Below are 23258 nucleotides of genomic sequence, written 5' to 3' on the forward strand. Positions count from 1 at the left end.
ATACATGAAAAACACTTAGAACACTGTCACATGTAAGCACCTAATATCTGTTTGCTATTGTTATTATAATTGTAATAATAACACTCATTGTTTTAAATTTCACTGACTAGTTTGTAATAACCTATGTAATATCGAATATGTAGCATAGGATATGTGGGGAGTTGGACACTGGAAGCGCACAGCAAAATTTAAACAAATATAAGGAATTCTGAGAACATAGTGAGTTGAGCACAGTTTGAGTCTTCCAGAATTCCCTAAAAAAATGGAGCACAGAGAAAGCAAAATCAAGGACTCACAGACATTATTTACCACAAAACTAGTTGGCAAAATCATTTGGAGAGACATCAACATAAAGACTAAAGTCTATATTAAATATCAGAAGTATGTTTACCCATAGAACCAAGATAGGTGGTGTTTTCATAGACATAGTGTGATATCTAAAACTATATACCCCAATAAGCTAACACAAGTGGGGGGAAATAGGAAATGTTCATGAAAAGTAGAATGAGCTTGCTAGTTGCCTTATAAATATATTCTAGCTACTAAACAAAGACAAAATCGAATTGAATCAAATCTTTTTTTCACAAACAATTGTGGATCAATGTATGTAGCAATGAGCACAATTGGCTGATAACCTCAGAAAATCAAAACCAACGTTACAAACATTTTTATGAAAAAGCACATACAAGTTGCCTTTGAAGTAGGCACTTTGAAGTAGGTATGGTTGTATGTGTTCTTTCATCAAAAAGTTTGTACCTCCTGCAGTTATTAGTTCAGCAAATGATTATCAAGAACCAACATGTACCGTGCACAATTATGGGTGCTGGGTTCAGTGACTTCCAAAAGAAAATAAAACTAATCATAAGAAACCAACCTGGCATGTACAGTCACATTGAACAAGTGAGCATTAATCAAATAACCTTGCCAATAAGTGCCATATCACCTCTGTAAAACATAGAAAAGTGTATGGCACTAGGAGAATAAATAATAGGAAGATCACACCTAGTGTGATAGAAAAATAATGAATTATCTGGAAAAAAGTTATATTTGAACTAAAATATGATTGATGAATAGGGTTTAAGGAAATATAAGCCTGGAGGAGGGGTGGAGGCAGAGAAGACTGCTTTAGACCAGAGTGGAAAGCCTGTGCGGAGGCCTTGAATGAGGAAGGAGGATGGTATGTTCCGGGATCCAGAGGACATTCAGTATATCTGGTGGGTATGAAGTAGAAAAGGGTGGGATAGGAGAAAAAGCTAGAACTTGGAAAGGTAACTGTGTAATTTATTGTTTAAACTGGATCACTTTTGAGAGTGAAAGGGAGGTACTATCAATGATTACACCAGAACAACAGGTGGCAACTGGGACTCTGAGTCAACCTAATTATAGGCTGTGTTACAGATAGGTCTTTATGCAGAGAATGATGGAATTGTTTGGAAGGATTTTAAACAGAGGTTTACATTTTGGCTGCTGCAGTGGGGAGAGTGGATTATAATGAGACAGGCCTGCATGTGGGAAGACTATCAATTAGCGTGCTTGTTTCCCAGAGACAGGCTGAAAGGCCGTTTCTGTTGCTGTGTTTTTTGTTGGTGAGCTTGTTACATACCTCTTTCTTGCATGTCGAAATTCTGGCCTAAAATCATACTAGCAGTTTCTCTTCCTTTCAATGACTGGAGTCTGAGGAAGTGCTTGCTTCTTCCAATGCCCGTATCTGAAGTACCTAGGGATAAGTTAGGACAAATAAAAAATGACTATGTTTTAATTACTATAGCATAATTTGTCTATTTGTTCTATCTATCTATCTATCTATCTATCTATCTATCTATCTATTTATCTATCTACATATATATGTGTATATATATTTACTTACTAAATATTTAACATACTGTACTAAAATTATTAAAAATCTTATTCAATGAGCTAAACTTCTTTTAGAGAGGTGTCAGCTACACTGCAAGTATACACTTCAAAAATACTTAGTGGGTTTGGTTTCTTAAAAAGAAATATCTTTTGTTTTAATTTTGATAGTAAAACATATTAATTAAAGAAATAAATGAATGTACGGAAATATTTTTTTAAACATAAACAACATAAAAATACCAAATGCCACATCTTTTAACCTGGCTGAAATTCATCTATATATAAAAGTTTGTATCCTGCTTTTCTTTTTAAACTTAATGTTATATCATAAGTAAGTTCACCAGATTTAGCAAACAAATAAAAGTACAAGTTACCCTTTTAACTGAATCCCATATGAACAACAAATTGTTTTTTGTGTAATTATATCTTAAATATTGCATGGGAGTTACTTTGACTTTTTAATTTGGAATTCAAATTTAACTGGACATCCTGCATTTCTTTCTAGCAATGGTACTTATAAACACTTTTCTTGGCCAAGTGCAGTGGCTCTTGCCATTAATCTCAGCACTTTGGGAGGCTGAGGCAGAAGGATTGCATGAGCCCAGGAGTTTCTGACAAGTCTGAGCAGCATAGAAGGACCACGTCTCTATAAAAAATTTAAATATTTGCTGGACATGCTGGTGCATGTCTGTAGTTCCAGCTACAAGCAGTTAGGGCAGTTAAGGATCACTTGAACCCAGAAGGTTGAGGCTGCAGTGAGCTGTGATCGTGCCACTACAATCCAGTCTGGGCAACACAGGGAGACCTGATCTCAAAAACAAAACAAAACAAAACATTTTTCTTGTTTGTTTAATGTACTCTTAATAAACTATTATAAATATTATAACATTTTGTTAGACATTTTAATGCAGGAAAATATATCTCATTATTTAAAGAGTATCTTTGGATAGATTTCCAGAAGTAAATGTCTTCCAGGTAATCTGACAGGTAAGATTAATTATATGTATATTTGCAACTTTATTTCATAGGCACTAGTTTCCTTTCCTTTTTATTTATTTACATAGTTAGAGGGCTGACTTTGTATTAGCATTGACTAGCCAAATTTTTTTTTTTTTAGCATAGGTAATTTAGACCATTCTTCAAGAATTTATTCTTACTGGATGGTAATCCAGTTCCTTCTAAAGTCTTGCTTGAAGTCATAGATATTTCAGTGAAGGAGATTTCAGGACATGGTAAATACACATTTATATGGATTCCCTTCATTCTATTCCTGTGCTCAGGTTTTTACCAAACAACCTGTGATATATTATCCCAGCCTCACTTTTTTCTTTGTTCTCTCCTTTATTATCTGTATTATGCCTTTATATTTTGTGTTCTGCCCTTATACAGAATCTACACAATAAATGCCTATTCAGTCACTGTCTTTCAGACTTCCAAATGTTGGCTTTCACAATTAGCAGCCGGGTGACATTAGTCATGCTACTTTTCTTCTCTGAGCTTTGGTATCTTTATCTATAATAATTATGTAAAGGATTTTTGTCATGATAAAATGAGAACATTTTGAGGACAACACTTAATGTGTCAGTGACATAGTATATGCTCAATGTATTCCTGAGAGCATGTATGCAGACATGAAGACTAAGTGACTTGGGTAGTGCTTTTCAAGTCAATTGCGTGCCTCTCTCAGGTATGCAAACCTTAATGGTAATCATCAACTGGGGTCCTCCTAAATGGATTTGGATTCTTTCTAAATATGATTCTTATCCAAGACTGGACAGCAGAAGGATGAATTGATGATGACTAGACTTAGACTCTGGAATAACAACTACAGTATTACATTTAGCGTTAGCACCATTATAGTTAAGGGAAGCCTTCTTAGATAAAATGTGTTTTGTGGTGGGTAAGTAAACACATTTGGGGGGTGGTGAAGTAAGGTATTTGTGTGGTGCAGTGGAGTTTGCAGTTGCTTATCCTCTTCAGGATGTTTCATGTTCTAGCACTGTGCCAATTGTAGTAAATGGGTCTTTTTACATAACAATGTCCTTATAACTAATAACGAATAAATCTTACTTTATCCATTACATATTCTTTTTCAAGAGTGCTGCATTTAAAAAACACTGTTACTTACATAGTATCTGAAAAGGGCCTCTCTGGTTTTGTTTTTGTTTTTTTGATTCTGTCAGTTTTCTCTCTTGTTCATGCTCTTGATGCACATTGAGGAGTGTCCCACCAAGACCATGGTGCTCACAAGACTTTCATGAGCCTCTGGCTTTTGGATAAAATAATAACTACAAGATTGTACCTGAGCAAAAAATAACTTCCTGATGAACAGTCAAATGTGTAAAACTACTAAATACTTCCCTAATTACAGTGGCAGCTCAGGATTTTAGTGTTTGATCACTTTACTGTTACAGAGGTCTCATTCTCATTGACACATACTTTTCTCCATTGTTATTAAATACATATTAAATTCTTCTCAGAGTTCAATGCTAAAGAATATTAATACAGATTTTTATGAAGAATTACATATATTACCCAAAATGTTTCCTACAGCCATAAAGCTCAGAGATAATGAAGCTTTGTAGTGCAGTAGTTCATTCAAGTCAGATGCCGGGAACATGTATTTGTCAGCTTTTTAAAATGCATTTTTGTTAATGTTGAAAGTATTTTGGATGTAAAATGTTTATCTTTTCAATTTATTTTTAATTATTTTTTCATCAGTTAGTTTTGATCAGTGCTCCAGGTATAAATTCTCAATAAGCGAGTGAAATAAACCAGGTATTCCTCAAATTTTTATAACCTCCATTGATGGTTCAGTGTCTCAGTGACACCAAATGCAATTCTACCTCTTGCACTAGAGCATTTTCCTGGGGTTCGTCATATGATTTACTTGCCTCTCTCCAGACTTCTGGTTAATCCACTGCTATTCTAAGGCTTTATCACTGGGTGGCACCCTGCCACCTTATTTGGATCTTTTCTCCCTCCTGTTCTCTTTTCTTTAATATAACTGCATTGTAGTCAATAGCTGAGGTCTAAACTCCGATACCCATGTTTGGAATGCTGGCTCTGAAATATATTAATTCTCTGACAATAGACAACCTAGATAGCATCTATTCAGCAAAATAAAGATAACAATAGTAACTAACTTATAAAAATCTTGTGAGAATTAAAACCTTTAATTTAAAATATTTAGAAGAATGTCTGGCAAATAAGAAACATCCGCTAAAATTTGTCTGTTATTTGTATTACCATACTCAGAATATTACAGTAGAGCCTGGTTACAGTTACAAACATAAGTAAGTCATAGAATTTGAGGAACAGACAAAAAACATACAAAAATGAACAAAGGCTAATAATTATTCTGATAATAGAAGTAAAAACAAGCACTGTGGAGAGCAATTAAGTAGGATATTCAAAGCTAACTTGTGGTATTCAAATATCAATTTCCAACCATTTATCAAAAGCCTTGTAAGAACAAATGCCTGGGTTTGTTCTTTATACATATTACATCGTATATGTCTCATAATAGCTATATAAAATAAAAAAATTTATGCCCATTTTCCAGATTTAAAAAAAACTGAGCCTATTATAATAGATGTTAATAATTTGCCCAAGGTTTCTCATCCTGTAACTGGAAGACCACAGATTTAAATTCAGGTTTGCAAGTGGACAACCACAGATTTAAATTCAGGTTTATTTTAAAGCACTTTCTACTGTGCTCTTCCTTCTCTGTCATCTGTCTATATTTTTTATCTCAGCTGTTACTGGTTAAAATTTTAATACCTACCTCTCCATATTGTTCCTATATTCTGGAAGGGATTGAGTTGCCTGTGACACCTAATAAGAAAATCATAAACATGCCTGCAGATTAAGCCTCCTCTCATTTCTGAGATGAACGCTGAGCCGACAGAGCTGCCAGTCTCTCATTTAACTTCTCACAATTCCTGCAACATTCCCCTCCTCTCTGACAGTTGTATCAGCATTTCTGCTGCTGCTTGTGCTGATAAAGCCCCCAGAACACACACACACCAACTAGAAATAACTTGGTGACACATTCACTAGGGGATTCCTTTGTAAAGAAAGTCCGGACTGGGAGGAAAGTGTCCTGCAGATTGCTCCACTACTTCACAGATGAACTGGATCGTTCAAATGTAGTTTTAGAGAAGTGGGGGCAAATTTTTTCACCTGAACTGTGTGGAGCAATCGAGTATTCCCAAGAATCTGTTACTAAAAGAAGTGAGTTTCAATGACAGTGAAAATATAAGGTAACAAAGTTGTATTTTTTTTCTTACACAAGATTTTGACCTGATAACATAAAATAAGAAAATCAGAAAGTATAAATGGTAGGATAAGTTGAAGAAGGAGTTCAACCTTCAAGAATTGTGTGCACTTGCTCATCATCTTTCAATATCTTTCCTAATGTAGAATGTTGCTCAAATATTCTCTTCACTATTTTTTCAGGATGTAGATAAAAACAGAAGTAGCTTTATGTATAAATGTGGTGACTCTACATGGTGTGATTGCAAATGTCCAAGAAGCCCTACCTTCGTGTTAGCAGTAACATTAAATACACATGTGCACACATGCATACACTCACATACACACACCACCCTCATGCCCCACACTCTGCAAAAGCAGATACCCCCAACACACACACACACACACACACACAATCTTTATACATCACATCCTCCAAACACACATACACATGAGTACATAGACAAACCATGCCCTCACACACTCCAAACAAACACTTGGCTATCTCTTCCACCAGATGAAAGGGCAAGGGATAGAGGATCTGAAAGGATATGAATGAAATTTGCTGAGAACTGAGATTCCACTGTAGGGGCTTTCGTACAAACTTGCTGTTTTTCACTTTGGTACAGTTAAATTCAAAGTTACTTGGAAATACATCGTATTTGAAATGGCTATTGGTTAGATATTCTTTAATGTGAATATGCTTCTGATCATTTCTTAAGAACAGGTTTTGATAGACAAACTGCACATTCTGAGGGCCTAAGGCTAAAGGGAAAATAAAAAGAGGGCAAAGAGAGAATGCTGAGGTGCCGCAGACAAACTCGGCTAACAGTGATTTGTCCTGAGGTCAGTGCTGAATGAAAACCTGCAGACACCACTGAGAGCTGTCCATAGGAAGGAACAAAAGGTTATAGAGAATACTGTAGTTAAAGAGTATATTTCTCTACTTACACCAATGTGATGCTTGAAAGGTCTCTGTGGTCTATATAAAAATGAAAGTTACTGGATACCATTAAATTAAATGAGACGTTCCTGACCTCAAGTCTGGCAATCGTAAATCCCAATTCTTTAATTCAATCCAAGGTTTAATACTTTTGATCTTTAATAATTGTAAATGTGTATTAGTTTGTCTTTTAATTTGTATGAGTACATAACTGTTTTAATATTTCGTAGACACAGTTGATGACAAAATGCCAAAATTTCGAGAAGTTGAAACCAAAAGACTGTGATTAATGTGGACAGATTGACCTGTTTCAATATTTAGTGTGGATCAGAAGGGTGCATTATCACAATGTCTTATGAGCAAATGACTCAAGCTGGACATGGATAAAAGATTTTAGTTAAGGAGATAATCATTAAGGAACATCTCCTACTACTTCCTTTCTCTGGTAACAAATGCTGCCCTCCAACCTGAGCCTTAGGCTGCCTTTCCCTCCAGTGTTTTGAATGTTGGCATCTAAGGAACAGTGGAATGGGAAATATTTCTTTGAAGATCCATTAGCTTTAAACTTACCTCCATTTGTCCGGCTGATAAAGCCAAAATCAATGAAATTGGAGAGCATTCCTTAAAGGGCTGTTTGTTTACTCATACTTCTGGCTGTGGAGATGACTTACAGGACAGATGGAGACCAAGTTAGGTTAGAAGTGCTTAATATTGGGTTGTACTGTCTGCATTCAATATGAACTTGTGTAAGGTAGTTGTGAGGTTGTGTTCAAGGTTTTTCACTATAGCATAAGGAAAGGAAAAAAACCTAATATAACAAACCTCAGATCTTACCTATAAAATTATGTTATTTGCAAGGTAAGAATATTGTTATCTAATATTCACTTTAAAAATGTTTAGTGGAAGATCAGTAAAGGGATACATGATGATGAGCAACTGTACATTAAATTTGGTCAATGTGGAAAGTTCTTTTGGAATTTCAGATAAAATTGCCTTTATTTTTGTTATAGTGAAAATACCTTCTTTCCACACTCTGATTTTCTGAATAATTCATATTACTTATTTAACTTTGTTTACAGTGTATATGATGGCAACTCAAAATTAAAATATAAAGAAGGACTCTCTAGAATTTAAAGTGATATCCACCTTAGTAGATAGTAGAATAGTTCTTAAACTATGTAATTGATTGATTGCCTGACTGATTCATTCATTCATTCAATTTTTTTCAGTGAGGAAGTATTTATTGAGGACTTACTCTATGTCAGGTTCTGTTCTTGGATAAGAAGACAGTGCTAAAACAAGGCGAATAAAAACTTTCTCCTCAGTTAATCTCCTTTTACAGCAAGGAAGACAAACAAACTTATAGCTCCCAATTTCCCATTAAAATACATGGACTCGAAGAAGAAGAAAAATAAAAACTCACCACATAACACACTGGGGTTACAGGGCAATCAGTTTCAGAAGAAATTTTATTAACTATAATTTCAAAAGAAAAGGTGAAAGAGATTGCTAATTTCCATGCTTTGCCTCAAGAAATAGCAAGGTTAATTTCCTGTAAGAAGACATGTCCTTCCTCTCCCATATTGTTTGTCCCTTGGCTCCAAAGACTCCATAAATGACCAACCAGTGATCTGTACTGTTATCATCTCATGACCAAGAAAATATTTCCACAAAAGCCAATCTCCATTCAATGACTTCCACTTTTCTGTTTTTTATTGGATATGCAGAATAAGGTGCCAGAAATATTTCATTAATAACTTGGAAGACTGTAAAGTTAAATAATGAGTGTAAACCTATATGTTAGCATAACATTAATTGTGTACGTGACAAGAACAACAACCAAAGTCTATAAACATTCCAACCTTTTATACTCATCTATTTTCTAATGGGGAAAACTCATATGTTACCCTAGCATTAAGATTAATTTTGTATGTTGGTTTAGGAAATTGATGATAAAAACTTGGAGAAGACTGCTGTATTGGATTACAGGTTCATATGTTCTAAGCAAGAGAGAAAAGCCTAAAATCTATTTCTCTGTCATGATACTGCTCGAAGGTAAGTGATTTGGAGCTGATTCGGTGTCTTACCATTCTTAACATGATACTTGGATCTCAGACTGTCGGGTGGTTGCTACTATATACATCATCTCAGTCAGCTGAAAGGAAAATGAGCCAGAAGAGTCTGTACAACATTTTAGAAGTATAACTGGGAAGTGGCGTTATCACTTCTGCTCATTCTTTGTTGGTTAAAATTTTGTCACGTGTCCACACAAAACCTCAAGGAAGTCTGGAAGTGGAAACCGTAGCTGTGTGCAGATGTCACTAGCTAAAACTGAGGAGTTCTGTCATTAAAGAAGGGATGAATACGTATGAGGGGACGACTATTAGTCTATTCCTTAATCCATTTCTGTGGCAACCCTAATATCCATCTGTATCCCTTTTTCCACACATAGAACCCACATAATCACATCCATAGATGGCAACCAAAGCCACATCCAGTAGTGTCGTTTAGCTGAAAGTGCCAGACCTCTGAATGGTGATTGGTTCTCTCCATTAAGTCAGTCTGGATTTACTGGTGTTTTGGTGACCTATAAACTAATAGAAAAATTACTTGCTTCCTCCCCACACACACTTAACGGTAATGGAGAAAGACAGGGATAACTTCAATTAAAATATCATTCAGAAAAGAGAATAAAGGGAAATACAGAGCAGTCACTTGCCCACAGCAATAACGAAATCCTGTGAGCAAGCGTTGGCAGGGCAAAATGTCCTTGGTTAGTTCTTGTTCTTGTCTCTAGAGAAAGCCCTTTGTGCATTTTCGTCTCTGGTGTCTTTTGCCATTTTCTTCTGTGACCATATCTGAAGTGTGTTGGAAAATGTGTTCTCCTGAGGGCTGCACAGCTTGTTCAGTTTGGGGACATAGAAGCTGCTTGAGGAGTTGAACAATTACGTGCATTTCAGGCTAGTTTGTGCTTTCAGTGGCAGCAAAAATTCCTCGATAACTTAGTAGATGCATTCAATTTGCTTTCTCTTTCATTTCCATGGTAAGGAGTCATCGATGCAAATTATGTCTGGATATAGTTCTTCAACTTAAAGTCTTTCACTTATTTAGTGGTCTTTGTGCTCGGCTTTTCCTTTCTCCAGCATTTTACTGTGCTTTTTTTTTGTCTATATGAAAACCCAGGCTTGGTCTGTTATTATTTGTTTGTTGGCACAGTCTGCTTCTCAAGTTATCACAAGCAACTTCCAACCCATAATTACAGTGTCCTCCTGATTACTGCTAAGCCAGTGCCATATATTTTAGGGTTTTGTGAGAACAGCAGGCTACTTCCAGTACAAATTTCTGGTTTGGATAGGATATAGTCCAATCTTTTATAATAAAGAGACCTTAAATATAACAGTTTATGCAAGATAGATAGATAGATAGATTTTCTTTTCTTTCTAAAACAGTCCAGAGGTAGATAATTCAGAGCTTTTAGAGTAACGTTTCCATATTTACCATGAAGTTTCCATTTTGAGAGTCAAAGTTGTGAAACAGTTCTCACTGATTCCTTGATGGGGGAAGTAGGAAAAAAATCAGGGGAGGAGGTACTCACTCATTTTCTGGGTAATGCACAAGAAGAAAAACATTTGCTCCCACCCATTTGATTAGAATTGTGTCACACGGATCCACCAAGCTTCAAGAGGCATGGAAAGTTAGTGAGTTACTGTGAATAGAAATTATACCAAACTATTAACAGTTCTTATCTCTGGTGGGATGTGCTTGTGAGAGTTTCATTTTCTCTATGATTTACTTAGACTTTGTCCACTTATTCATTTTACTGTCTCTCTACTTTTTAGATGTTTTACAGTCATCATCTATCACTTGCATGCTCCAATACTATTTAAAAATTAATTAAACCTGAATTCTACAATTAGGCATTGTGAGAGATGGTATAATGAAAGTTGTCTGAAGGTTTAATGCACAAGATAAGCCTTTGAAGAACTCTGGAGGAGAAACTGGCTGATAAAAAGATATGGAACTGGAAATCTGTGAAAAGAGAGAGAATGATCTTGTTTGGCAATAGTAAAATTCTTCCTAAGAAATAAAACAGATTAAGGAGTTGAGAGAGAGAGAGAAAGAAAGAGGGAGAAGGATTGAGCATCAGCAACATAAAACACGCTAAAAGTTTTAAGCATGGCAATATGCAGAAAGGGGTATTGCTGGTTTCATGTATCAATAATTTAAATAATAGTATGTTTACATTAAGTAAATGTATTGCTGTTACTATAGCAAGACATAATTTAATTATTTCCAGAAATCGTGATGAAAGGAAATAATTTCAGCTCAGCACGCACCGTGAAAATAATTATAGTAGAAAATTTATGTAAAATAATAATGGTATGGATTTCTGATTTGAAGTTGTCTAGAATATATGTCAAGTTATGTTGTAAAAAACAAAAATTCAATAGGTCCACAGAGAAATATGTTTTGGATTTAAAGGCCTGAAAAAATGCTATCTTATTTATAAGATAGAGTGTTATTAAAATAAATATTACATGATTCTAGGAGATCTTACAAAGTGATACTTGGACATCCTCAGGGGTTTATTTCTTTATATAGACAGATTTTTACCAATATTCACCCTGTAAAGCAAAACAAATAGCAATTATAAAAAAGTTTTTATCCTTGATGTTAAAAATATGACTACTTTTTCTTTTTGGTAACTAGAAGTGGAAATTTAGTGTCACTGTGTTAATAAAGAAAAATTAGTCTCATTATGTTAAACAACAGAGTAAAACAAATATTGAATGGGTGCTGGGAGCCGTGGCATAGAAAGTGGAAAGAACTGAACAATCAAGATGTATGCAGTGTAGGTATTAGCATAACCCTGTTTATCTCAGCAACAAGAATCATATGGACACAATTTCCATTATGCTGTCTTTAATGTGCCTAGATCCTATTACCTTCAGTTTTTTTCTCTTTTCTTCAAGATTCAAATATCCAAGAAAATGTATGTTATTGTCCTAGCTTGGGTCAGACATCTATTCTCGCATCAATCAGCAATGGCATTTAGAGGGGCGGATCCACTGGCATAAGCAAACCTTGTAAATCAAGGCTTCCCTAAGAAGGGGAATTGTTGAGAGTCAAACATTCAGCGATACGTCAGCTAAACCATACAAGAAAAAAAAGAGACTACTATTACTAATTTTGAGCTAAATTTCTTCTCAGTAGGATTTGTAAAAGAATTAGGGACACCTACTAAATACTATAGATAAAAGCCTGTGCATTTTTACCAAATCATTACCTGAACTTTCTTCTCTACTGTTGTTTCTTATATACACAAGTGAAAAGGCCTCTTCCAATGAATTTAATTTGTTACATTTTTCTGATGGTTGGAGATAAGGGATAGTATAGAAAAAGAATAATATTTATAAATTGTAATACTTTTTTATACAAATATAAAATACTTTTATATTTCATTAGTGGAAAACAATGTTAATGAATAAGAAAACCACCCATCAAAATTAGAGATTTTATTTTAACATATTTCCTTATTTCTCACATTAGAATGAAAAAGTTCTCATCTGGTACCTATATAAGCCAATTATAACATTTAGAATGTCATTTATGAAATGGAAAATTTCCATTTATAGAAAATCTTTATATCCTGCTGAAAAAACTTCAAAATGTCAATTTCATGCAGTACATCTGGGGAAAATCTGTCTAGGACATAATACCTTAACTGTCACATAGTGATTATAACTTCTCTGTGTAAACAGGGGCTAAAAATTTCAGGATATATATTATCTGTTAGGATAATATGTATTATTAGGTGTTTAGGCACACAGTTAGAGTCCCTGGACCAGTGACCTCTAGGTAGTAGTGACCATAGATGGTGAATGTTGACTTAAGGGGTGGGTGAAACTACATTTCTAGTAATGAGATTTTAAAAAAATAAATTAAAATGATGTGTGGTATGTTCAAACTGTTTTTTTCTTTTATGAACTATTTCTTCTTCTATCACATACTTTGGTCACAGGAGAGTAGAGTACATTAAATATAGAAACCTAAAAAACTATTTGTAAAAGAAATGGCAAACAGAAGAGAACGGAAAAAGAAAAATGTAGAAGGGATTGTTGTCAGTGTGCTATCTCCCAGTAAAAATGTGGTGCTATAATGATGTCAGAGAGAGAGAGAGAGGCATGGTGAGAGGGTCTGCTAAGGACAGCTTCCTGCTTTGGTCATTTTGTGTAATATATAAATGTAAACCCAGGCATGGTGGTGCCCACTTGCAGTCCTAGCTACTCTGAAGGCTGAGGTGTGAGGATCTCTTGCTGCCAGGAGATGAGGCTGCAGTGTGCTGTGATCTCACCTGTGAATTAGCACTGCACTCCAGTCTAGGCAACCATAGCATGACTCTATCTTTAAAAAAAAAAAAAAAAGTTTTAAATGTATATGGTCATGCAAAAAAGAAAATACACACACCTTATGATTTGGGTCATTGTATCAGATGGCAGGTAATTTTTTTTGCCTGCATTTTTGCCCTGAAGAAAATAATTAAGACCTGGATAGCACAGCTTAGCTTCAATGCTGATAACTTTCCTCTTATTTTGATTTAATTGGGAATGCTTCTAGTAGGTATCTTGGTAAATGAGAAATAGGAATACTATATTCATATATGTTTTCAAAGTATATTGAGAGGTGTACATGTGTGAAATACTTCTTGGGATTGACATGCAAATCTTATGGAAGTTTATTATAAGACTTTTGACTGTTTTTGAGAAGTGTCTGTTCATATTCTTTGCCATCTTTATAATGGGGTTGTTTTTTTCTTGTAAATCGGCTTAAGTTCCTTGTAGATTCTGGATAGTAGACTTTTGTCAGATAGATAGATTGCAAAAATTTTCTCCCACTCTCACTCTGATAATAGTTTCGTTGGCTATGCAGAGGCACTTTAGTTCAATTAGATCCCATTTGTCAATTTTTGCTTTTGTTGCAATTACTTTTGGCGAATTCATCATAAAGTCTTTGCCCATGCCTATGTCCTGAATGGTATTGCCTAGACTTTCTTCTAGGGTTTTTATAGTTTTGGGTTTTACATTTAACTCTTTAATCTATCTTGAGTTAATTTTTGTATAAGGTGTAAGGAAGGGATCCAGATTCAATTTTCTGCCTATGGCTAGCCAGTTCTCCCAGCACCATTTATTGAATAGGGAATCCTTTCCCCATTGCTTGTTTTCATCATATTTGCCAGAGATCAGATGAATGTAGAAGTGTGGTTTTATTTCTGAATTCTCTATTCTGTTCCACTGGTCTATGTGCCTGTTTTTGTACCAGTGCCATGCTGTTTTGGTTACTGTGGACTTGTAGTATAGTTTGAAGTCGGATAGCCTAATGCCTCCAGCTTTGTTCTTTTTGCTTAGGATTGTCATGTCTATGTGAGCTCTTTTTTGGTTTCATATGAATTTTAAAATATTTTTTGCTAATTCTGTCAATAGTTAGAAAAATGGCAGTTTAATGAGATTAGCATTGAATCTGTAAATTGCTTTGGGCAGTATGGCCGTTTTCACAATATTGATTCTTCCTATCCATGAGCACGGAAGGTTTTTCGATCTGATTGTGTCCTCTCTGATTTCCTTGAGCAGTGGTTTGTGGTTCTCCTTGAAGACGTCCTTCACTTCCCTTGTTAGCTGTGTTACTAGGTATTTTACTCTCTTTGTGGCAATTGTGAATAGTAGTTCATTTATGATTTGGGTTTTGCTTGTCTGTTTTTGGTGTATAGGAATGCTTGTGATTTCTGCACATTGATTTTGTATCCTGAGACTTTGCTAAAGTTGTTTATCAGCTTAATAAGCATATGTATATATGTGTGCATATATATACATATGTGTGTGTGTATATATATATATATAGAGAGAGAGAGAGAGAGAAAGAGAGAGAGATTTTGGTTAGGCAGAAAGGTAGGTTGAAGGTTAAATTATGGTTTTATGATACTGAGTTTAGATTTTATCCATTTTAAAATTATGAGTCAATGAATGCTTTAAAGATAGGCAGAGCCTGCTTAAAATGGACATGTAAGTAACATTGACTGATAACACTTAGGATGCTGAGAAGCAGGTAAAACCTGTTTGGAAGAGTGCAAGATCAGCAGCTCTTATAATAATTCAGATGCAGGGAGTAATAGCATTCTAAAAGAGAATCAGCAGAATTTGGTTAGTGATGGAATTGTGAAATAAGGAGAAATATGAGTTAAGGATGTGTCTGTAGTTATTTCGTTGTTTTGTTAGGGAAAAATGATAGTTAATCTTGAAAGGAAATATAAAATATAATTTGCTTATGTTTTTTCAAAAATCTAAATTTCAACTAGTTGTAGTTTTGTGGAAGTATATATACATGTGTATGTGCATTTTTCTTTCATCTATCTATCCATCTATCTATCTATCTATCTATCTATCTATCTATCTGATTATCTATTTACCTACCTTTATTATATGTACATATGTACATATCAGAAATATTAAGAAAGCTTCACTTGTAAACCAAAGTTATTTGTGACAGTTATCTGGAATAATGTGTGCAGAATTATGGTGCTGGGTCTAGGATAAATAGGAAAAAGCACATGATTTATTTTTGATGTCTGCAATATTGAGAATGTTGGAGAAAATGTCATTTTGTTTTCCAATCTTGATAGACGTGGTAGCCTCAATCATTAGAGTAAATGATATCTCCCAGGGAGATAATATTGCAATTCCCATTTGCCCTATTTCTTTCACATTGGTCCCTTTCCCAGGTTCCTAAACAGATTATTTTCTCTTCCATTTATGCTCCTGATATTTCTAAATCACTATTTATGAATTTCAAGCTATCTAGTACCACAGTCCCTTACTTACATTAGCAGTTTTCTATTCCTTCCCTGAGGGCTATATGTCTTTCCTTAACAACCAGTCCATTTGGGTTGGTTCCAAGTCTTTGCTATTGCGAATAGTGCCACAATAAACATACGGGTGCATGTGTCTTTACAGCTCATGTTCTATAATCCTTCGGGTATATCCCCAGTAATGGGATGGCTGGGTCAAAATGGTATTTCTTTGGTGCAGCACACCAACATGGCACATGTATACATATGTAACAAACCTGCATGTTGTGCACATGTACCCTAAAACTTAAAGTATAATAATAACAATAGAAAAACCAGTCCAGTGACAGACACCTAGCCACCAGCACATATTCCTCCAAAATACCTACTGGCTGCTTGCATCCAGTTTAAACACCTTGAACACCTGTTCTATTTGCCCATTGCAACAATTTGCTATTTTACTGAGTTCTACCCCATTTTGAACTATTTGAATAAAATTAAAACTGGCTATGTTTTTGGGCATTGAATATAAACATTCATTATCAGCATTTGCAGCTGGAGCATTTCATTCTTTGCTGATCCTAATCACAATAATAGTGTCCAATGCCTCCCTACCCATAATTTCTTTTTTATTAAATTGGCTACATCCTGTGAAATCTGAGATCCAAGAATGACTTTATGGGAAAAACAAGTATGAACAGCTATTGAACAATTCCTGCCCTAATGTTTAATCAAATAAGATATTTTATTAGGATCTGTATTTTTATGGCTCCTTTTTAACAGCTGTAATAAACTCTTTCAAAGCAATATGCTGCAAGGGATCAAAGAGCTGTGCTCAATTAGAATTGTTCCTTATTAACCATAGTCAGAAAAGAAGTGAGAAATAAATAAGAGTGTGTCCGATATGTCCTTCAGCAGACTGAGAGAGTAATGTGTCACTGTGACGTGTAGCTTTAAAACAAATTAAAAATCCTATGAAGCACTGAAGCTCCCTAAGCCACAACAGTGGACTTGCTATGGAGATCATGTCTCAGTTTCTGATATCAATGCCACCTATGATCTCCTCCTAAGAATCAAGAGATCAAAGATGAAAAGCAACACCAACAAAGTCCTAGAATGTAGCCATTGTACTGATATTGAAAAGAGGTACAGCATAAGTTGACTGTACTGGTTTCAGCTTCAACAAAGTAACAGCAGGTTTCTAAGGAGCTGTTGTACATGAGATGAAGTGAAGTTATCAATGTAATAAGGGCAGAAAATGATTTACACTGTGATTCACTGAAAAACAACCTCATATTATGTGGCATGGCATGAATTCATGGCAGCATACAGAGCAATGCAGTATATATGGCCTTAATGGAGAGAGTTAATCTCTTTAAATGAGCTCAAAAAGCTTCATTAATTGCACCACCATTCTCCCTTTATCCCAGGTTCAAATGTCCAGTCCTCTTTGGCTGTTTGCACTCTATCATGACATATATCCAAGCACTACATCTATTGATTTTCCCCTTATATCTTTTTGTCTACTTATCATACTATCTTTCCTACAATGTATCTGTGAATTAGTTAATTTTATCATGATATATAGTGAAAGAACAAAGTGTTAGATACATTAATTTTCTCAAGGATAAACTGTAATAAGCAGGGTGATCAGGCTTCTTTTCTCCTGTAAAACATTTCCCAACTGCTCCACACTATACCCTGATAAACAAAGGTGATTACTCTCTATTTGGAACCACATCTGTGACTTCATGATTTTCTGCTACCATGTCCCTCTCCCATATTCCCATATATATGAACATCTGGGGCTTCATTTGATGAAGACAAAGGTCGATTTAACCTGTGGATTCCTAAAAGGTTTTCTTTTATATGAAATGCCAACTGTTATCAAGGAAGCAAAACCAAAATGTCTCAATCTCTCTGCAATCATGTAAGAATTTCCAGAAGCCTATGTGGCCTACGTCCTTTTCCATATTATAATATTATTTCTGATTTCTCTTAATTCAGTTCACCTACTTTCATAATAAGGAAAGGGAACTTTTATCAAGAAAGATAGAATGGAAAAGCTTTTACTCTATTTCAGTTCCCATATCTCCATCTGGTGAACTCCTCTGATTTTCATTATCCATTAATTTCCTCTATAAAAGCTTCCCAGATTGATCTAGATGCTTTTGATATTTTAACAAGTATACCACTTAAATTATTTTCCAGAATGCATCACAGTGACATGTACTTAACACTTACATAAATATCACATGAGGAATACAGACGTAATAAAGAATTCAAACTCTAGTATTTTACATTAATCTAAAAAGAAACATAAAATATTTTAATATTAAAACAAATACAGAATGCCTTGATATAATCCTTTGTATATTACCCGTGAGATGAGAATGGCTCTCACTGGCAGATTTTAAAAGGAGTGTCATGTGAATCAAAGCAGTGAGGCTAGTGTTATGGAAATTAACAATGTCAGAGAATAAATGTTCCTAAGCTTGAAAATAAAGACAAAAGAATGTATGCCAAGGCATGTGTCAGATATCAGTAGGTGCTAGCTTCCAATTTTTAAACTGTGTTTTCAGCATAAATTAAACTAATATTTATTTAATTAGTTGTGTGCACATATATCTTTCCTTCAAGATTATACGAATTCCATGTGGGCATGTATGTTTTCTTTAAACTTTCACAATTCAGCATATTGTGTAAGCAGACTAAGCATTTGAAAAATTGTTGTTAAATGAATGTATACTACCTTAGCTTTCATGCAAACCAAAACTTAAAACAAACCAACTTCACTGTAGCCAGGTTCCTTTCTTCCCAGCCTCCAAGTTTTGTCTTTACTATCACCCCAACTTCACAAACTGGGCAACCTTTCACTTTACTTATACAATTTTACAGGTTTAAAAATTCTAAAGAAAAAGAAGGCAGGATTTTTTTTTTTCTGTAAAGAGCAGTAAATATTGTAGGCTTTCTGAGCCACATGGTCTCAGTCACAACTGCTTAATTCTTGAAATGCAAAAATGTGTGTGTCTGTCTTCCAGTACAATTTTTGGTGAATACTTAAATTTGAATTTCAGATTTTTTTTTTTTTTTTTTTTGAGATGGAGTCTCACTCTTGTTGCCCAGGCTGGAGTACAGTGACGTGATCTCAGCTCACTGCAACCTCCGCCTCCCGGGTTCAAGTGATTCTCCTGCCTCAGCCTCATGAGTAGCTGGGACTATAGGTGCGTGCCAATACACCCAGCTAAGTTTTTGTATTTTTAATAGAGATGGGGTTTCACCGTGTTAGCCAGGATGGTCTCGATCTCCTGACAACATCGTGATCCACCTGCCTCGGCCTCCCAAAGTGCTGGGATTACAGGCGTGAGCCACCGTGCCTGGCCTGAACTTTGGATAATTTTAATGTGAAATTTTATTTTTCTTTTCTGTTTAAAATTATTTAAAAATGTAAATATCATCCTTGTTTTAAAGGCCATACCAAAACAAGTAGCTGGCCACATTTGGTCCTCTGGCTGTAGTTTGCTAATGATTGTGCTAGAGTGAGGTTTTTGTTTATTTTAGTTCCTTCTTCCTCAATTGTATATCTCTGGATTTTGTTAACCAAGACAAAAATACTCTGATTTAAGACACAGATTTTCTGAATTACTCATTTTGGCACATTTATTTATATCCACATGTTACTACTTAACAACCTTATTAATATGTATCATCCTTATCCAGTTGGTTGTAAATTCTGGAAGGGAAGGGGCTATCCTTATAGCTTTTTAAAAAAATCCTCTAAGACAGACAACAATAGGAAATGACTGAAGGTGCCACTGTAAAGTTCTAGTTGAGTGAGAGAGGAATAAACAACCCTTTCTACATATGGCTGAACTGCAAAGGCAGATCTTCAAGGCAGCAAAACAGATTCCACTCAAATCTGCTCACTTTGTATTTCACAAATCTATTTCACAAATTTGTGTGGAAACAGATTCAACATAAATCTGCTACAATGAGTTTCACAAGCCTCACTGTAGAAAGGAGTGCTAGTACACCATTTATCTTCTTGCCAAAACAAAACTAATTTGAATTAATCTCATCTGTGACTTCTCTGGTATGATCTAAAGGGCACTATCAGGAGTAAAAAAATTTTCTCAGCAGTGCCAAAAACACATCCAGTGGTAAAATATTATTTCTGTAAAACACCGTCCTTTCCCTTGTCCATTGATCCTCAAAATGGTATATCACAAACTTCTGTGAGATCAGTTTATGTATTAATCAAAATGGGACATCAATTAACAAAAATAAGTATAAGCAATAGCATGGACATTATTGCTTTAGACTAACGGTTCTTAACCTCCACTATACATTGGTATCATCCAGGGAGGTTTTTAAAAATCCCAGCACTCAGGCTACTTCTGTGACAAATTAAATCAGTTTCCAGAAGTGCCACCCTCTAAGTCATTTTTCTAGCTCTACAGGTGATTCGACAGTGCAGCCAAATTTGAGAACTCCTGTCTTACACCCTCTTGTAGAATTAAATCTTCCTCGGGAAAGGTAACAAGTTACTCTTATTTTGATCTAATTTACTTGTTCTATTGACATCTTCCAGGAGGAGAAGGAACAGCAACAAAAATTATATATCCTGAGGTAGTGATCAGTGACCTATGGAAGAAATAGAGACATGACTGATAGGGAGGTGTGGGATATGGAAAAAAGTGCCTCATAAATTTTGTTCTGAGTTAGTCATTTAGGACTTCTCTGTAAACAATGAATGAGTAACATTTACTCCCATAGTGAATTATTTGTACTTTTAATTTCTATGAACTGATGTATTAATATCTAGAAAATGGCCACAAACTGTTCCCATATAAACACTGGCTCCTTCCAAAACCTCTGGAGACGTTAGATATCACCAAACCATGTACTGTAACAGTAACAGTGCTTAGGCATTTCACAGGATCATGCTCTCAAATATAACTAGCCGATCCTAAGCCTGTTTATCCTGCTTCACCCCATTCCTCCCACAATTTTGCACTTTCCTTTGCCTCATGACAAACTCAGGTGCTTCCCCTGGGTAAGCCTGTGCTTTATGATGTTTTCTCCCCAGGGAACCATAAGTAACAAAACTGTAAAACTCCACTTTCTTTTTCTTGATCTGCCTCTGTCCTCACCATATCTCACCCAGGATAATATGATTAAAACATAGAACAATAGTTAGTGAGGTTTGAGAAGATAGCAACTATTCAGACATAAATCCTTTATACTACAGAAACTCTTTCAGATTCATGAAAGTCTCTCTCATCAAAGGTTGAAATCCTGGATAACTGTGTCCTTATATTAAGACCATAAATCTTTTCTACTTGAAACCTTTTAAAATTTTGTTTTGCTTTTTTGAAAATTATATTTTCAGTGAACTACCTTCTGATTGTTGAATTTGGATGTTAAGGTGAAGTTTTACATTTCACTTCTTACAGGTGAAAACTTTATGTCAGAAAGTAGAAGGAGTAGCAGCTATAGTTTTCCTTGATAGGAACTGACACAACATTGATTAAAAATTGTTGCTGTTTTAGTCAAAACCATGATGAGATACCATCTCATGTCAGTCAGAATGGCAATTATTAAAAAGTGAAGAAACAACGAATGCTGGTGAGGTTATGGAGAAATAGGAACACTTTTACACTGTTGGTGGGATTGTAAATTGTGGAAGACAGTGTGGTGATTCCTCCAATATCTAAAACCAGAAATACCATTTAACCTAGCAGTCTCATTACTGGGTATATACCCAAAGGAATATAAATCATTCTATTATGATGATACATGCATGCATATGTTCATTGCAGCACTATTCACAATAGCAAAGACATGGAATCAACCCAAATGCCCATCAGAGATAGACTGGATAAAGAAAATGTGGTACATATACACCATGCAATACCATGCAGCCATAAAAAAGAAAGGAGATCATGTCCTTTGCAGTGACACGGATGGAGCTGGAAGCCGTTATACTCAGCAAACCAATGCAGGAACAGAAAACCAAACACTGCATGTCCTCACTTATAAGTGGGAGTTGAACAATGAGAACATATGGACATAGGAAGGGGAACATCACCCGCCGGCATCTGTCATGGTGTGGGGTAGGGCGAGGGAGAGCATTAGGACAAATAGCTAATGCATGCTGAACTTAATACCTAGGTGATAGATTGATAGGTGCGGTAAACCACCATGCCACATGTTTACCTATGTAACAAAACTGCACATCCTCCACATGTACCCTAGAACTTAAAATAAAAATAAATTTTTTAAAAAAAATTGCTATTTTTGCTTCGAGGAATGCTTAAGAGGCTGTTATCTCTTTATTTCATTTTGAATACTTTTTCTTTCTGGTTTATTATGGACTAATTTTTTTTCCTGGTAGTTTGGATGTCATATATGAAGGCAAAAATAAGCCATCAGTTTTGAGAGACGATACATACAAATACAACAGTTGCCCAACATTTTTAATAGTTATTTTACAAACAGATTTTCATTTTGAACAGAAATTCTAGAGGATTATAATGACATTAAACTTGCATATACAACCTCTTCTTACATTTGAAAAAAGTTTCTTACAATATTATAAAAGATAATATGTTTCTATGTTATAACTTTTTTGATATCATATTACCTTTATTATAATACAGTATATAATAATTTGAAGCAATAATGATAGATGTTTATTGAATGCTTTCCATCTGCTTGGCCTGGTTTTAAGATGTTTATATGGATTAAACCATTGAATCTAAATGTTATTTTATTCTTAAGGAAACTGAAACACAAGAGTTTAAAGTCAGGCTGGGTGCGGTGGCTCACGCCTGTAATCCCAGCTCTCTGGGAGGCTGAGGCAGGTAGATCACAAGGTCAAGAGTTCGAGACCAGCTTGGCCAATATGGTGAAATCCCATCTCTACTAAAAATACAAAAATTAGCCAGTCATGGTGGTGTGTGCCTGTAGTCCCAGCTACTTGGGAGGCTGAGGCAGAAGAATCGCTTGAACCCAAGAGGTGGAGGTTGCAGTGAACCGATATCGCACCACTGCACTCCAACCTGGGCGACAAAGCAAGATGCTGTCTCAAAAAAAAAGAAAAAAAAGAGTTTAAAGTAACTTCCCAGAATTTCAACACCTAATCAGAACTTCAGGAATTGAAAGTAGTTTGTTTGACTCCAAAACTCAAACCCTTAAACACTACAAAATACTCCCTACTGGAGAAAATTATGAATGCTTATCTCAACATATAATTTGTTAAAAGTAGCAAAAATCATTCAATGAAGAAGAAATCTTTTAAATTTTTTGTTCATATTATCTATATTAATTGCTTACAGAATTCATTGGACAAATAAATGC

The 23258-nt window shown here is 35.1% G+C and overlaps 1 long non-coding RNA gene across 1 annotated transcript in view, besides 1 other annotated feature; it reads left to right on the top strand.

Moving 5' to 3' along the window:
* The window catches only part of LINC01036 (long intergenic non-protein coding RNA 1036), a 267403-nt gene that overhangs the window by 167555 nt on the left and 76590 nt on the right, over positions 1 to 23258 (top strand). The window lies entirely within an intron of this gene.
* Positions 9138 to 9338: a silencer, noted in NCBI's record as "peak523 fragment used in MPRA reporter construct". NCBI's record gives its function as "represses an SCP1 promoter by STARR-seq MPRAs in K562 erythroleukemia cells {active_cell/tissue: K562}" and the evidence as "EXISTENCE:reporter gene assay evidence [ECO:0000049][PMID:32103011]".

Source organism: Homo sapiens, chromosome 1, assembly GCF_000001405.40.
Source record: "Homo sapiens chromosome 1, GRCh38.p14 Primary Assembly".
Lineage (NCBI taxonomy): Eukaryota > Metazoa > Chordata > Mammalia > Primates > Hominidae > Homo > Homo sapiens.